This window comes from Homo sapiens, chromosome 18 (assembly GCF_000001405.40).
Source record: "Homo sapiens chromosome 18, GRCh38.p14 Primary Assembly".
Taxonomy (NCBI): Eukaryota; Metazoa; Chordata; class Mammalia; order Primates; family Hominidae; genus Homo; species Homo sapiens.
Genome location: NC_000018.10, coordinates 69,467,518 through 69,486,468, shown reverse-complemented (window position 1 = coordinate 69,486,468; position 18,951 = coordinate 69,467,518). Strand labels below are relative to the sequence as shown.

The window sequence follows — 18,951 nt, the reverse complement described above, 5'->3', positions numbered from 1 at the left end:
TGAACATCACCTCACACAGGAGAAATAGGAAAAACTAAAAAATAGAAAACAAAAACCCACACTACTGTCTTAATTGTCCCATTATCATTCTTACTAAGACTTTTCATGAATTTTAAAACTGTTTCTCCTAACGTTTTCTAAAGTACCTTCAGATTAAACAAAAACTAAACATGTATAATTTTTTCAACAGCTTGATCAGTTTATATGTGTTAATTTACTCTTAATTATAAATATGTTCTTAGTAAAGCTAATGTTTAAAGATATCAATAAAGGAACAAGAAATGTCTATACTCTGCAAAAGAAGAATGTAGACATTATTACTTATAATAATAATGAGTATAATAATGTTACATTATATATTAAAAAAGGAACTGAAACCTTTTTACCTATGAAATATCCTATTTTCCCTGCTTCATATGTGTTATTCATCCAAGAAGTGGCATTTATAGACCAAAAGAGAATGAGTAAATAATACTTATAGGAAGATCAGGTATATTTCAATAAATGAAACATATATTAATAAAAAAGCTTAGTTTTAGGGGATACTGGGAGATATACATATACACACACACACACACACACACACATATATACGTATACTATATATATGGATATATACACACATACATATATGAGCCTTAAATGTCTGAAGTCTGCAATGAGACAGAAAATTCTATTCAGAATGATTTGACTAAATTTTCTTCTTACTAGAATGGACAGGATATGTCTGTGTTAAAATTCTTCCTAGAAAACATTCTCTCAAAATTTCCTACCAATTTGTATTGCATTCTAGAATCCCTTAGACATAAACACATCATCTCTTCTCAAACCGAGTTGAATGTTTGAATGTTTACCCTTCACTCCTCTGAAGGATCTTAGAACAAAATGGCACAAAAAAGGATTAAGCCTTCACTTCTCAAGCACAGACTTGGGATCAGTGAACAATTAGGGGATTCAACTGCAGGATATCCTATGCCCTCTTGCCTTTATTCTGCATCCACGGGACAGAGTGAAATGGCCAACTGAATGAGGCAATGCCTTTGATGGTCTGGGGTAAAGGACCTTTTCTTCTTTTTTAATCTCCTATCTGTTAAGAGACTTCATAAAGCACATTAAAATATATTTCTAAGAAAAATACATATATATGATATAGAAAGCACTAATAGATCCAACACATCTAAAATCACGACAAATTTCTAGCAAGGCTTTCAGCATGCCCTCTCACTTGCTGCCCTTGCTCACCATGGAACCACTGGGAATCCAGGAGCATTGCTGTTGCATCATCTGTTGAACAGTTGATTCCACAAATCCCAAACCAAATCCCAAAGGGATGTGCAAACGATCTACTGTGAAGAGACAAGTGACCCTCACTATTAGTGGACTCTGTATTTGCAAATTCTCCTACTCGTTACAATGCATTTGTAACCCCCCAATCAATATTCACTGCACTTTCTCAGAAAGAGAAAGGGAGAAATCTGAGTCACCCAACACACAAGTTTCCCAGCTGAAGCCCAGCAGGTGACGCTCTTCCTTCCTGTTCCAGCTCTCTTAACTATAAACAAGTGTCTTTTCCAGAGTTCTATTTATTAGTCATGATTTCCACATTTTTGCACTTTTTGTTGGCGATGTCACCATTTAAATAACTTCTAAGCACAGTGCTGAAGTGCTGTCCAGGACTCCTAAGCAGGAGAAGGCTGTGGTGCACCTTAAGGAGAAAATATGATGAGATAAGCTTAGCTCAGGCATGAGTTACAGTGCTGCTGGCCGTGAGTTCAATGTTAATGAATCAAGAATATGTATTACATAAGATGTTTTTCAATAGAAACACACTCAAAACAAGTTTCTGTATTGATCCATGGGTAAAAATGTTGTGACCTGAGGCTCTGAGAACCCAACCCTGTATTTCCTCTAGGAGCAATGGTTCAGTATTACTTGATGACAAAGCTTAAAACCCTTCTAGATTTTGCCATATTAGTTATTTGATTCATTGAACAAATACAAAATACAAAACTCGAAAACGTCTGAAAGTATTTTAGGACAGTGATATAAAAGAAAGATAGCTTCTAAATTTAGGCTTTGTTCCCATCAGCAAAAATAAATCAACTGAGTATCTCTATGCAGGCATACGAAGCTGAAACATTTATTTGGATTCCTTCTATAAAATAAGTATCTTAGTTACTTAAAGCAAAGAAAGCATTGAGTCTTTTAAAGACATATACGTATTACATAGAAACCAGTTAATCAAAATGCTTTATAAGAATAACATTTCAGCCAGTCTCGGATTTTAGAGACCTATTGAACATTTAATTATTTTTTTTATGGAAAGGCTCAGGACTTAGGATTTATAAATTAAGTGAACAATAATTCAATATATATTAGGGTCACAATGATATCCACTAAGAGCAGGATCCCTCAACTTCTTGCTTTCTGACACAACAGATAAATAAAACATTAGGATTCATTGTTAAACTGTTAAACATCTTTGCTAATTTAAAAAATAAAAATATGTAGATATTTAAGTTATTCAAACGAACAAACCCAGTTTGGCATATAGATTAATGGATGGAAAAATTATATTAATCACTAAAGGAAAGCAATTAACAGCGGAGATGCCACAACCAGTATGAGAAAACCGCAAAGACTAATGCATCTCTAACCCTTTCCGTTTCTAAATTTCGTTTAGGCAAGCATGAGGAAAGCCTGCATGCCTGCTAAGGCACTGTTGTAATTAAGCAAGTCTATCCTGCAAACTTACTATCACAATCTGGAGGGAACACTTTCTTGAGTTTTGAATGGCACCTGCAGTTCACTGAGCAGAATGGAGTTACAAGGACTCTAGTGTTACAAGGGATCAGAAGAAAGCAGCAGCCAAGAAAAGCAAAGACTAGAGAGGAAATCAGCAGACAACTGAGTACTTCGTAGTCTGTCCCAATGCTATGGAAAGATAGATGCTCATTCCTTCCAAAGAGGCTGAAACAGCTTTCAAGAGAGTCAAGAGAATGAGTCTTCTAAGATAGATGGGGCCTCAAAACTCTTTCATCTAATAACATCACTGTATCATTAAAGAACAGCAATTACTCCTTTTATGGCAATTGTGAATGAGAGTTCATTCCTGATTTGGCTCTCAGCTTGACTGTTGTTGGTGTATAGGAATACTAGTAATTTGTGCACATTGATTTTTTGTATCCTGAGACTTTGCTGAAGTTTATTAGCTTAAGAAGCTTTTGGGCTGAGACTATGGGGGTTTTCTAGATATAGGTTCATGCAGGGATATGGGTGGATCTGGAGGCCATTACCCTTGGCAAACTAACACAGGAACAGGAAACAAAACAGTAAATTTTCTCACTTATAAGTGGGAGCTAAATGATGAGAAAACATGAACACATAGAGTACAATACACACTGGGGCCTGTCGGAGGGTGGAGGGCAGGAGGAGGGAGAGTATCAGAAAATATACCTAATGGCTACTAGGCTTAATACCTGGGTTATGAAATAATCTGTGTACCGCAAACCCCCATGACACAAGTTTACCTGTGTAGCAAACCTGCATTTGTACCCTTGAACTTAAAAGTTAAAAAAATAAAAAGAATAATAAATAATTTTTAAAAGAACAGCATTTAGTAAATTACTGCAGAGGTTCTTTTAAATTACAGAACTCATATTTCTTATATCACTTTTTTTATTTCATCCTTTTTCATATAGTTTCTTATTTTATAGAATAATTTTTATAACAGAAGCTCCTAGCTAGCAGAGATATACATAAGGATGCATAGCAGAGATATACATAAGATACACAAACTAAAACCTCTAAAATGGATCATATTTATGCTGCATGAAATATTAATTTGTTTTGTCATTTCCAATTTTACTATATAATCTCACTTTGGTAATGGGCAGCTTCAGCCTAGAACAGAATTGTTTTTCCAGCATATAATGTCATGAGGACACTTAATGTTCTAAATTCCATGGGATACAAACATACATGAAGTTAATTTTTCTTCAATTCTTTCCCCAAAATATGCTGTAAGAAAATTGTCAGTCCCGTTCTATTTATAACACTTGGATGAACCCCTCTCTAGTTTTCTGATAATTTTCCATTTGGAAGACTCGTGCCAAGCCCAGTTTAAAATCCCCATCAGTGCACGTGCAATACCATTCAGGACATAGGCATGGGCAAGGACTTCATGTCTAAAACACCAAAAGCAATGGCAACAAAAGCCAAAATTGACAAATGGGATCTAATTAAACTAAAGAGCTTCTGCACAGGAAAAGAAACTACCATCAGAGTGAACAGGCAACCTACAGAATGGGAGAAAATTTTTGCAATCTACTCATCTGACAAAGGGCTAATACCCAGAATCTAAAATGAACTCAAACAAATTTACAAGAAAAAAACAAACAACCCCATCAAAAATTGGGCAAAGGATATGAACAGACACTTCTCAAAAGAAGACATTTATGCAGCCAAAAGACACATGAAAAGATGCTCATCATCACTGGCCATCAGAGAAATGCAAATCAAAACCACAATGAGATACCATCTCACACCAGTTAGAATGGTGATCATTAAAAAGTCAGGAAACAACAGGTGCTGGAGAGGATGTGGAGAAATAGGAACACTTTTACTCTGTTGGTGGGAGTGTAAACTAGTTCAACCATTGTGGAAGACAGTGTGGCGATTCCTCAAGGATCTAGAGCTAGAAATGCCATTTGACCCAGCCATCCCATTACTGGGTATATACCCAAAGGATTATAAATCACGCTGCTATAAAGACACATGCACACGTATGTTTATTGCGGCACTATTCACAATAGCAAAGACTTGGAACCAACCCAAATGTCCAACAATGATAGACTGGATTAAGAAAATGTGGCACACATACACCATGGTATACTATGCAGCCATAAAAAAGGATGAGTTCATGTCCTTTGTAGGGACACGGATGAAGCTGGAAACCATCATTCACAGAAACTATCGCAAGGACAAAAAACCAAACACCGCATGTTCTCACTCATAGGTGGGAATTGAACAATGAGAACACTTGGACACAGGAAGGGGAACATCACACACTGGGGCCTGTTGTGGGGTGGGGGTAGGGGGTAGGGATAGCATTAGGAGATATATGTAATGTAAATGATGAGTTAATGAGTACAGCACACCAACATGGCACATGTATATATATGTAACAAACCTGCACATCATGCACAGGTACCCTAGAACTTAAAGTATAATAATAAAAAATATAAAAAAAATCCCCATCACACATGTGACTTGGTATCTCAGCTCCTCTCCACTCTCAGATATGAACCTCAAGGGATGTGAACGAGAAAAGGCTTGGCCATTTCTGTCCTTCTCTTCCAAGTGCCTGACGGCAGAAGGTGTGTGCTGGTTTTGGCTGGGTCTCCCAATCCTCTACCAAAGCTTTACTCCTCTGGCACTGAATTTAAATAGAATGTGGGAGAAGGGCAAATATCTCTTTCCTTCACTCTCACTTTGGAGGTAGATATATTGGGCTTCTCTGGCCATCCAGTCATCTCAGGACCGTATGTGAGTTCTTCACAGGGTCCTCCAGAGCCTTTCTCATGTACAGTTCTCTGACTTGGGACATCCACCCATCTCCATTGCCCGAAAAGTAAAACCTGTCCTAACCAATATCACATACATGGATTATTGTCCCTCAGCCTATAATTCTGTGCCTATTTTAAAATCGTCACACTGTATTGTGACCTCAGTCACATCAAAGTCATATCTCCATATCTCCTTCCCCACACGTGTAAGACATTTCTCACTACACCAAGACGCCTTCAAAAAGCAGAACGCAGAGGGATTACACAATATCCTTGTGTTCAACTGACAAATAGATCTTAATTCAAAGAGATTAGATGTGTCACTAGGGGTAGGTAGTTTTATGTAAATTCAGAGAATATTAATTACAGAAGAGACTACAGAAATATTTCAGAAGATCTTAAAATATTTTAGGTATATTTTAGAAATATTTTAGACACATTAGACACCTCATTTCTATAGATTAATTTAGTCACAGATATGTAACTAGCAAATAAAAATCTGTTTGGTTCTTGTCAATATTATAGTCAAGATTCATATCTTTGACACTCATTTTATCATATCAAAATGAGTGGTAAACTTTTCATCTCAAAAGTTAGATGACATTTGGGAAATAAAAAGGAAGTTTCCCACATGTATCATTTATTAGCTTTAATCTTTTAAATTATATACCAATAAGGATATTTAAAATGATAGAGTCCATAAAATATTTTTTAAAAACTAAAATTTATCATTCATCTTAAAGTTAAACTTATTTTGAATTATCACTACTACTAACTTGTATTTATTTTACCATTTCAAGTAGTGCATATTTGATTAATAAAAAGGCATTCAGTTTTATTAATATGCCAACAAATAGACTGTAACACCTCATTAGTTTAGAAGCTGGAGAAATAAATGAGTTTTGAGTGTGCCAATTTACTAATAAGTTTTGAAATTGACTTTTTCCCTCTTGATTTGTGTCTAAATCTATTAATGCTTCTGATAATTAAGTTAAAATCAGGTCCCTACCACACACTCACAAGAGACTAAACAGATGCAAAAGAAATGTTTAATCATATTAGTGGCATCCTTCATTCAAAGCCCTTTATAAAATTCTAAGCAATTTGCTCAATTATTTTTATATCTCAACTTAAGAGTGTTAAATACCTTTTTTCTGCTCATGGTAAGAAATTATAATTCCATTCCAACTGATACCACAGGTGATAAGGAGTATTTCTTTTTGTGTGTGAAAATTTGCCAAAGTTAATGATTACTTGGAGAAGAATATTTTAAGTTACATAATATTAACTTGTATTAATGAATTGGTTCCTTTCAAAGAGCTCAGAATTAATCCTATAAAAGTGTATTATGATGACCATATTACCGAAAGCACATCTGCAGCAAAGTAAAAGCTGAGGAAAACGTTGTATTCCTGTAATCCCAGAACCCTGCAAAACATGCTTCTACATTTCATCTCATGTATTAACTGGCTCGACATCCCTTTTATATTGAGGGCTAGGTATGGGAATCACATTCTTCCCTTACTCTAGCCCATACCATGAAATGTATCACATGTTGCTAGCTTGTATACCAACTCATGTTACTGTATCCTCTCTGAGTCACCTAAGAACCCTTCCTTGATTTTTATTCTCATATTTTCAACTTTTCACTGGAATCCTTCAGGACTAAACTTGTTTACTACAAACTTAATATCTCCATTCCTCTCCTCCCTCTGGCAAATACCCTATTTCCTGGTTTGTTCTATTTTAGTTTATAATAACCACTAGTTCCCGAGAACAGGCAACATGCATTTATCTCTTAGTTACATGCTTCCTTACCTCCCAATGCAAGCATCCTTCAGTGTGCTGAGCACTCAAGAAACAGTTTAGCAAAAATGAAACGGACAAAATATCTAAATTGGATGTATACTGAAAATGTCTTAATTTGTGTCTTAATTTATGTTAATTGAAATCTATACTACAATCTGGTGGTCTTTTTCTATAACTGAAAACCTGTACTAAATTTAAGAACTATTCAGTGCATTTTTGTATCATAAATTGGATCCTGGTACAGAGAAAAAAACATCAGTGGCAAAGCCCATGATATCCAAATAAAGTGTGGGGTTTAGTTAACAGTAATGTACCAATATTGGTTTCTGAGTTTTAATAAATGTATCATGGTAATGGAAGATGTTAACTTTAGAGGATATTGGATAAATAGTAAACTCTCTGTATAATCTTGGTGAATTTTCTGTAAATTAAAACTTATTCCAATAAAAAATCATGAAATAAATGTGTACTATCAGAATCAGAAAACAACACTAATCTTACAATGGCATATATTGAATTTGTTTCTCAAAGAAAATGATCAAATTGACTGAGGAGGTTGTAGTTAGGAAACTAGAACATTAACTATTTTTTCCCATTTGTTTTAGATTAGGAAATAAAACAGTAAGTTTAAAGTGACTACTTTCTAATAATGATTTAAATAAAACAAAGGAGAAAAAGGAGGAGAAGGAAGGGGAGGGGAGGAAGAACCAAATTAGATAGGTGTCAGATTAGAAATTCAAGCCCCAAAACATGGATTTATGTTCAACGTACAAGAAAATTCCTTAGAATAAATGATGGCTGATATAATTTAACAGGCAAATGCCCTATGCTAAAATAAGACTGCTAATCTGATTTTTAAACTATGCATGAAATATTAAGTCTAGTGCCCAAAATAGCGTGATTCGGAAAGCCTCTTCTCTCTTCCACCACACTGAGCTAATGGGAGTATAGAATAAACACACACGTATTTAAGTATTTTGTGAAGTACAGATTAGTTTATCAATGCAATGAACATTAATACTTGAACACTCAATTTAAGGTAATATTAGTGTAATTTTCTGTATCTTAAAAGAAAGACAATATAAGTTTTCCTTACCATTTGTTAACGATAATACTTTTTTAAATTTCATTCACCACTGAAAAATTTTGTGACAGATTCGGCCTAAATGAGATCAAAGCTAAAGGCTCAAATACTACAGTAGTGTTCTTTTCACAGTTAGGTTTCAATAAACCAAATGTAGGAGGAAGATAACGGATACGAAAACCTGATTTTAAGGTCAAATTCATGCTAATATGTAAGGTTATCTTCTTGGCTGTTAAACTGATAAATGAATATTGATCATGCAGGAAATCACTTTAAAAGTTATCAATGTTCAAAAATTTTTCTTTGACATTTCTATACAGTCACAGTATACCTAACCAAAAACAAGAATTGGGTCATCTTTGAATTTTAAAACATGCATAGAATAGCCTGTACTAAATATACATTAGCTTCTATTCAAATATAAAGAAATGGAGGAATAAATACTGTTTGTTTGCATCTTCAGGACTTCATATTTTTGGGGGGTATAGAAGCTCAAGTCATAGCTGTTGAAAAAAATGAATGGTACAGCTAGACTCCCTCTTGCTTTAAGTTTTCCATTGCTATGGCAAACAAAGAAATACAATTAGAGACATAGCTTTATTTGATCAAAAATTTAAAACATACACTTTTTGATCTTGATGAAAGTTAAGGACTACTTGCTCCCAGGTACACCCTACTACCACTGTAGCCTCCAATGGGACAAACTTGTCTCAGCATCTGTGGAACTGATGCTTTGGGCTTAGAACGGATCTCGAAACCTGCTTCCACACTTGTGGGCTGATAGGATCCCCCAAAAGATAAATGTTGCTCTAAAGTTTATTTCAAACGTCAAATACATATTTCAAACAGCATTGTCACCATGGGATTGTCATATAAAGCACACAACAATACGCAGTCATCCATATACCAAATCTATCTTTAAAAATGATACTATTTTTATGCTACAAGTAGCATATTTTATAAATAAATTCAGTGATGGGGTTGTGCACAGCACTCACAGAATTAAGACTTCAGGCAAATCATATATCACCTGACTAATCCAAGCAACCTTTTACTGTGTACATAACCGTGGGATCTATAAATTCCACTGGCCCCTTTAGATTCCTTCAGTCTCATTGTTCTCTGTCCTGCTGTCCTGGAGGCTGGTCTTCATGGATTGCATGAGTATGTTCCATGCTTCCAATTGGGTTCTGAGAAAGGAAAGTTCCAGCAAGAGATGGGAGGAAGCAAGGAGGAGTGCTGCTTATTCTCTCACGCCCTCTCTGCAGGCCGCAGTCGGCCCTGCTACCTGCTTCCTGCTACCTCTTCTCCTCAAGCCCAGTTCCTGATGGGTGGCCCCTTTCTCAAGGTCAACTCCAATGAGGGTCACCAATCCCTTCCCTCCTCCTGTGGACCTGGGGGTGGCAGAGGCCACCTCCTGCTTTCTCTTCTTTTTGGTTTCCCTAACCTGTCTATTAACTGCCTTGTCCAGAGTAAGGCTTCTCTAATCCCTCCTTCTGAGAATGCCATCGATTTCCTCCGGGAACTCTGACTGATCAAGTGACGATTACCCGTGCCTTCCAAGAATCCCTCTGATTTCTCTTCCGCTCTTGAGAAAACAAAAACAAAATTCCTGAGTTTTCAGGTACTTACATTCAATATTAGACAAAGAGCGTAGGAATACCTAGAAAATGTTTTACTCTTATGTATATTCTTCATGTAGAAAAAATTCACATATATCTGTATACCCAGAAAACAAAACCTATTCTTATATCCTAGGGAAAAATAATATATGATAAACTCACAAAAAAACTGCCTGTGAAGACGTGCATTTAAAATGTTGGGCAGCAAGTGAATTAACGCAGAAACAGAAAACCAAATACCCCATGTTCTCACTTGTAAGGAAGTGGAACCTCCACCACCCCCAGGCCTCATGGATATAAAGACGGCAACAGCAGACGCTGGGGACTATTGGAGGTGAGAGGGGTGGGAAGGAGAGTGGCAAGGACTGAAAAATGGTTGGGTACTATGCTTACTGGGTGATGGGACCAGTCATACTCCAAACTTCAGCATCACACAGTATACCCACGTAACAAACTTACACATGTACCCCTTAAATCTAAAATAAAAGTTAAAACAATAAAATAATAAAAAATAAACATTCAATAGCTATGATAAGTGGCTCATATTGTTTAATATGTGTTTAGTAAAACTGGAAAGTTAACTTGTGTCTAATAGAATGAAATTTTTTTTTCTAGTGAAAGCAAGTAGGAATAGTTGTTGCATGTTTACTAGAAGAGCTGATAGTATCTAAAGTGAACGATGACTTTTCAAGATATCTATGAACAAGATATAAAGTGAACAATGAATTTTCAAGATACATAGCTTGGGATGATGGCAGTAAAAATAGAGCTTTCTTGTTTCCAGGAACACAATTCAAGGTAGAGGCGGGGCCATCTAAATGAGGATTCACATAGGAAAGTATGTTCAGCAATGTTTGGCAGCACAGAAAATGCTGAATTTCTCTCTGCAAAAGTTAAACTATTTGCCAATTCTGTGATAATGTTTTCCTATTTTTTCTTTGTTTCATACTTCTAATGTCAAATTTCTTGATTTTTTCAGTCTCATTAGGGGAACATTTCTAAATTCTAAGTGGGAATTTGTAATTAATATTAGTGCATTTCCACTGGGTCCAATCCTAATACTCAGTGTTACTGCATGCCCTTGGAAACTACTTATTCCTGATAAGATCAATACTTTTGTTTTTCCAACTTTACTCTGTGAAAGTAAGATTCCAATACTCTCCTCTACCTAACCACATTTTCTTTTTTCCAATATGGTGGAATATGTTATACAAATGCTTATTCTGTTGTGCTACAGTTGATTAAATTCCTAAAATATATAACTGGTATTTATTAGCTACATCATCCCTTCAGGAGTGATTTAGTGAGTTTTTTTCTTGATATGTTAAAGTCAATGCAAAATGTACCCTTCTGGAACTTGGAAGTGAAATAATTATTTGGTTCAAGTTCTATATTTTTGTGATATAAGAACATAAATTTTAAATATGAATCATTTTTAAGTATCTAGAATGGATACATTGTTTTTAAAACATTACATTCTGTTGCATTGTTAAATTTAGTGCAAGTTTTTGCTATAGATAATTAAAATCACAGGCTGCAGGATTTCTAAAGGGGTTATATCCATTTGCTAACAAGAATTACACAACTGAATTCATTTTTGTTTTGACAAGAATTATTCTAGCTCTGAATACACTGATTGTTAAATTTTGCACTGGGAAACCTTTTGAACTATTTTAGTTATCCTATAGCCAAAGATTTTCTTGCCAAAGAAGGCACTGGCAGTTCCCCAAGGAGTGCTATATAAGTTGGTTCAAAATCGAAAAATGGCATTATAAGAAGTTTCAACACATTTTTCAATGAATGGGCCTTTGGAATACATTAAACCATGTACAAACCATATCAAAAGTCAAATGCAAATTGCTTATAGGTAAAATTTTTATTTTAAAGATCGAAGCACATATTTTCTGATGAGTCTAAAATGAACAATTCTTATTGATATTAGAATAAATCAGGCAAGAGTTTGCCTCATAACTGAAAAATTCAGCATCAGAGTCATTCAATCTTTCAAAGCTTTTCTGCTTCTCCAATACTTAGGGGGCCATGTTGCTTTTATAATTGTTCACATACGATTTCAAGAAAGAAAGTAAAAAAGGAAAATGAAAGAGAGAAAGGAAGAATGGAAGGGGGATGGAGAAGAAGGGAGAAGAAAGGAGAGGAAAGAAGACAGAGCAAAAACCAGAGAGAGAGTGTGTGAGAGAACAGGAGAGGGAGGAAAGAAGGAAAGAAGGCCCCCCCTCACCAAGGACACATATAATAAAATCTATATTAACATATGAGGGATTTAAAAATATTTTGCAATGTATTTTCATTTCCTAAAAATTCTACTTTAATGAAGCCTCTTTCCATGATTTTTGGCTTCAACAGAAGGAAACCAATGTGTCATTGAGTCTGAAGGCTGACCTTCTTGAATTTTCAGAGTCCTAAAAGCTTGGGTGCATGGGGGAAAGGTGTGCACTTCCAATAGGGCTGTGATAGAAAAACCCAGATAGGGTGGATAGGAAGCTAAAAGCAAGAGGGACAGCACAGAAGGAACATATCCTGCTTCTATTTGTAATCGTAGGAGACAGTTTCCCTCCAGTGGATTCCATAGCAAGACATGTGGTCAAAGCCATTTAAAATCATTACATAGATTATTTGGTTGAGAAAGAACATGAAATAGTGGTTTAGAGTCTCTTTCCCTCAGCAACATTGTAACACTGAAGGGATTCAAAAATCCCTGCATATGACCTAGCAAGGACATGGGATTGGTCTGCCAGCGAGCCACTATGGTGAGGGTCTAGTTGTCCCCAGAGCATAGACTGACAGTGCTGGGTGCAAGACAGACTCCAGACAGAAAATACAGCTGATATGTAGGGATCTTCAATGGCTGAAAGAAATCAGGTGAGTCTGAGTTAACAGGGACCACTAAGCCTCAACCACGACAGGAACCACTCTAGCTACTGGGGGAATATGAGGGAACATGATATCACCATTGTGATCATATAAACTGATGGGACCTTTTAACATCTTTTTGATATTTAAGTTTTCACTTAAAATTGTTTAAAAATTAGGGTTGCCATATTTAACAAATAAAAACGCAAACAACTTTTATTTGTATTTTTCAATATTTTCAAAAATTATTCATTGGACATATTTTCAAAAATTACTCATTGTTTACCTGACATTCAAATTTAACAGTATTCCTATATTTTACTTGGCAAGCCTATTTATAATGAAACAGCAAGTATGAACTTCTCTCTCATCTTTGGAAAGCAGGGTTATATCAGTTATGCAAAATAAAAAAATATTAATTTTTTTCCCAACCAAGTTGATACTTGTAACATTTGTATTTCATCATATGAGCTAAACATAAAATATGTTTTTCTCTCTAACTTACATATTAGCACTGCTATGAAACAAGGGAAGCTAATGCCAGCAACTGTCTTTGAAGAGGTTTCAAATAGTATGAGATTTTTCAACATGGATAAGAACGAAACATACAACAACATGATATGAATGACCTATGTTTGAAATTCTTTGTTTCTTATAAAGTTTTTGAATTGATAACTTGTCTGCCTCTAGACCAGAGTTTGTGACTGAGGTCAAATGAAAAGAAAAAATAAATGTTTCTTTAAAGAAATAATGAGATCCCGTGTGTGTGTGTGTGTCTATCTGTGCGTGTATGTGTGTATGTTTATGTGTATACGTATGTATGCATGTGTGTGCGTGCTTGTGTGTATGTGAGTGTGTTTTCAATTCTCCTGATGAGGGATTGGGAAAAAAGGCAAATAAAAAGATTCTAGAAATAGTTGGAGAACTTCCTCTCCTGTGGGCGTCAGTGAGCACTAGGGAGGAGTGGGGCCCAGAGACCTGGCAGGAGGAGGAAGCCACCTTTTGTCTATTGCAACAATGAACAGACAACAATTCCAAGGCACATGCAATCTAGCAGAGCCCAGGTAGTGGATTTAGCACAGAAATCTGAGACCCTAAGGCAAGAATATGATGTGCCACCTTTTCTTCTAAGGTCTGCAGGTCCCTGGGGGTATTCTCATTATAAAGACACTCGGGAGAGTGGTACAGTGCAAGGAAAAAGGGAACCTCATTGTGTGCGCAGTCACCTTACCTTGCCCGGGCGCTCACACTCAGAATCTGGCCTGAATACGTTAGTAGGCCCACCTGTTTTTATTATATCTCTTTAACTTCAAGTGAAACAGGTATTTTAAGTAGTTTTCTGGCTTTTCGTAAATAAGAATCGGAGGAACTATTTCCTAGGTAAGGTTATGTCTCAGTTTTCTCATAAGTAAAATGGGAATATTTATGTTACCTAACTAAAGAGTTGTTTGGGAAAATCATAAGAGATAATGCATGTAAAGCCCTGACCACAGTCCCTGCTGAGGAAATAAATGTAAACTAGAACAGTAATGCTACTACTTATAATTATTCCATAACCAACACTGTAAAGCAAGTAACTGTGCTAGGGGATAAGAAACCAGATTGCTTGAAACTTGAAATAAAAAATAGGGCAAAACAGAATTCATCATTGAGAGTAGAGGCAAATTGTATCAGGTGATTTGAAAGTTTCTCTATATTTCAGGCTCAACCAAGAACAATTCTCTATTTGAATAGAGCAAGTGACAGTTTTCCTGAAGCAAATGGCAATTCACTCACTCGCTCATTCGATATTTATTGATTAGACGTCTCTTTCAGCTGTAATATCACCAGAGCATCTTAAATGGTCTCCCTGATCCTTTTCTCTCTTCTCCGTGCAACCCCCCACCCAGTTGTAACACAGCAGCCAGTGTTCTCTACAAAAAAAAAAAAACAAAAAAACCCTCATAAATCAGAGAAGGACAAATCCCTGCTTAAAACTGTCCAGTGTCTTCTCAGAGAACTGCAGGTAAAATCCAAGCACCGTGCCACGGCTTACAAAGCCCTAGTCAGTTAAGTCTCCCACTGACCTTTCCAAACATACTGTTCAATTCTACCCACCATATTCACCTCATTTTTGTTCCTCAAGTGCACCAAGTGTTTCCCTAACCTCCGAAAGCACTTTCCTGATCCACCGGTGGCTTCTCGCCTGGAGCCAGCAGGCAGCCTCCTCGCTGCCCTTCATCTCTGAAATCACCCCTTTTTTTTTTTTTTTTTTTTTTTTTTTTTGAGATGGAGTTTTGCTTTTGTTGCCCAGGCTAGAGTGCAATGGCGCGATCTCAGCTCACCGCAACCTCTGCCTCCCAGGTTCAAGCGATTCTCCTGCCTCCAGCTTCCCGAGTAGCTGGGATTACAGGCATATGCCACCACGCCCGGCTAATTTTGTATTTTTAGTAGAGTCAGGGTTTCTCTATATTGGTCAGGCTGGTCTCAAACTCCCGACCTCAGGTGATCCGCCTGCCTCGGACTCCCAAAGTGCTGGGATTACAGGCACAAGCCACCGTGCCCGGCTACATCACACTTTAAAAAATCCTTCTACAGCATTTATCTTCATCTATTTTTTGTTTACTGTTAAGTATTTACTCTGAGCCCCCTCCTCTAAAATGAAAACTTTAACAGGACCTGACTGCTTTATCCCCAGCACCTAAGTCAAAGTCAACAACCACATGTTGAGCGAATGAAAATTTCTTACGCTTTGTTTTCTGCTCGTTTACCAGCATCTTTTCCACACAACTTTCTGGAGAAGGCCATATATGTGTTATATACATATATATGTATTCCCTCCCGCCCCACCATTCAGGCCCTATGTTATTGCTTTCTCTCACAGTCCTGGATACTAAGCAGAGAGTCTTCAGGGTGGGGAAGAAAGGGGCAGGGTGGGGTGGGATCCGCAATGAGTGAGTCTCCTGGGGTGGGATGGGCAGTGCTGGACCAACAAGACCTAGAATAAATGACTGAGGGAGGGCCAGGGCATCCTCAGCTCTAAACAGGTGCGCCTGGGGGCCACCGGCACTGAAGGTGTTTGGTTCCCACCCACTCCAGCAGGGCCAGGCCAGAAAAGGAGACAGTTTCCTGGCTCCAGCCTCCCTATGTGCAAGTCCTGCAAAGGGGTCTCCTGTTTGGCTATGAGATGAACAAAGATAGCTCAGAAGCTCCCAGCTTCCAGAGTCACGTGAGGCTGGGCCTGAGAAAAGCTGGGAGGTCAGCAAGGGTGAATGAAGGGCAGTCCTTGCTTTCTGGAAGACTAGCACCTCAGAGCCTGCTTGAACCGTTTTCCCTCCTGCTGACCCCTGGACTTGGGGCCAGACCTACACACGCCAAGGAATGGGCACACACCATTCCTCTTGTGAAGTTCACAAAATACAGATTGGTCAGCAGCCGGAAAGGATCATAATGCTGTGGTGGCAGCAGCCTGCTTTTTCAAAATCAATTTCCCCTGGAGATGGGTGGAAAGTTGAAGTTGTAGTCGGTGCGCGCTAAGGCTGGATACCCAGCGGGTAGGGGAGATCGGACACTCGGTTCAAGTAGGCCACGATGAGATAAGGTTGGAGCCCAGGCTGAAGAGCACCCGAGCGACCCAGAAGCAGATGCCGTCACTTCCTGGGGAAGGGTCGGCACAAACAGTCCTTAAAGGGGCAGCTGCAGGAGCCAGTGGCACGGGAGACAGTGGGGGCGCCTCTGCCGCGCTCCATCCGCCTCTGGCTCCTGTCCAACCTCGCCGATGGCGTCCTGGCCTCTCGTGTCCTGCCCTCTCATGTTCTTGGCCACGAAGTTCACGGCATCCCCACAGCAGCGTATCTCCGGGGCGGCAGTGCCCAGGCTCTGGTGAGGCAGCCGGCAGGAAGTAGGCTAGCAGCACCAAGCCTGAGATGAGCACGCAGGGAACCATGATGTTTGTGATTTCCGGCAGATGATGAGTAAGTAGATGACGTCAGTCTCCCCTGAGCTATCTGCTGCGCCCTAGTGGCGGCAGATCACTCCCGGCGAAGGTTATAGATCATACGAGTTTTCAAATAAAAACCACAAAAAAAAAAAAGCCGTAATTATCATCTATATGAATTTTTAAATTACCTTTCCCTATCCTGCGAAGCAAACACACAAAGTTAAAATGTCTTGCATTTGATATAGTTTATTATTTAAGTGAAGGGTGAGAATAAAAAGCATTCTTATTTAAACTTGTATAAATCTAATAATTACTAGTAATAAATAAAAAAGGTAAAATCTCCTTATTTTATGAAATTATCAGTACTCAGCACACACTAAATATTTAAAAATCTGTATTTCTAGTTCTGACTCCTTGGGCCCTTGCCCCACAATTGCTGGTTGCCATTCCGTGTCACTCTTCCTCTTTATGTTACTTTGAAGTCACTATCAGCAATATCAAAGTCATTCACTTTCTAAGCAAACCCGCAGTTCCTTCAGTGGCACCATCTTCATCCTCTCCCCTGACCTATCAGATAGAGAGGATATCATTTTCAAAAGTAATTCCTCGCACACCTCCTTTGTCCCAAATATCCAAGTAGTCAGAAAATCCGGGTGCGGCTTACTCTGAAGTGTGTCACAGTTTCCTCCTTTGCTTTTATTTTTAAAAATCTCCATTTTTATCCAGAGCTTTATCTCTCTAGTAGTATTCAAGTTCGTGTCTTTATATTCTAAATTCTTTCTGCTCTAGTCCATCTTGCATGCAGCCGCAATAAATTTTTCAAATCTATGACTATTACCACACCTAATCTAAGTTTGAAATCTAAAATTGCCCTACATTGTATATATCTTATGAGATTGTATATCATATGACATTGTGTATCATATGAGACATGAAATATTTTTAAGATCTTTCAACTTCTATTTCTCTATGCAGCCACATCCGTGCTTCTCAGATCTCAGAAAATAGAGCACAGATAAACTGACAGACTATGTAGGAAATCTATATACCAAGCCATACACTTCTCAAGGGTACAGACACTGCCAATTACCTCACAGAGGACCTGGTGTATAGTAGGCAGTTGAATTTATAGTGTGTGTTATTGCATTGAGCTTAACTGAATTTTATTTTTAATTTATAGGGGTACATAATAGTTACACATATTTATGGGGCACATATGACATTTTGATACAAGCATATAACATGTAATGATCAAATTAAGGTAACTGGGCTACTTCCAAGTGTTGCTAAGTGTGGCAGAATTTAATGGCAAAATCTGCTCAGTGACATGTTTCTATTTGTTAAATAAGTATTCATTATTTGTTTCCTGAAATACAGGAACCTCCTTTACAGTATACAAAGAAAATAATTCCATTATAATGAGAAATATCAAATTGTCACCATATATAATGTCAGCTAGGTATATTATATAAGCCAAAGAATGATACATGAACCATGATAATCACCTAAGGAGGATAAATGACGAATTAATAATGAGAAACACAGTAAGAAACAGGGGAATTTGCATTTCATTTGAAAATATAATAACTTCAAAATTAAATCATTGCCTATTGCATGGCATAGTGCTTTTCAAAACTGCAAGCTGTCTCTCCATGCTATTATTTACAATACAATTCAGGGGCTATCATAACCCCTTCAAGTCCCTTTGGAAACTGTGTTGTCTGTCACTTCTAATACAGATATCACAACAATAATAATAATTGTAAATAGCAAGACTAACAGCTAATGCATACTTCATAGTAATAAATGATACAGGAAACTGCGTATTTACACAAACTCCTCAGGTAATTATGTTAACAGTAAGTAACTATCTGGTGGCACACAAAAGGATAGGTTTCCTAAAAAGCACCGATTTTTTCATTACATAAGAGATAAGAAATCGTGATTGGATAATATCTAGATGATTTTATAGAAAACGTGCTAAATTATTATTTTTTGCAACATTATGAGCCAAATATAAATTAGTCAAATATAGATGAGGAAAGCAAGTTGTATTTCCTTGGATAACTATGAAATGAA

The 18,951-nt window shown here is 37.3% G+C and overlaps 1 protein-coding gene and 1 long non-coding RNA gene across 2 annotated transcripts in view; both read right to left on the bottom strand.

Annotated features, from left to right (window-relative positions):
- The window catches only part of DOK6 (docking protein 6), a 448,200-nt gene that overhangs the window by 362,619 nt on the left and 66,630 nt on the right, over positions 1-18,951 (bottom strand). The gene's annotated exons all lie outside the window — the stretch shown is intronic.
- Positions 14,733-16,538, bottom strand: LOC105372179 (uncharacterized). Its single transcript, NR_134579.1, has 2 exons — positions 16,326-16,538; positions 14,733-14,866 (listed from the first exon to the last, which is right to left on the bottom strand). It is a non-coding gene; the product is annotated as an uncharacterized LOC105372179 (long non-coding RNA).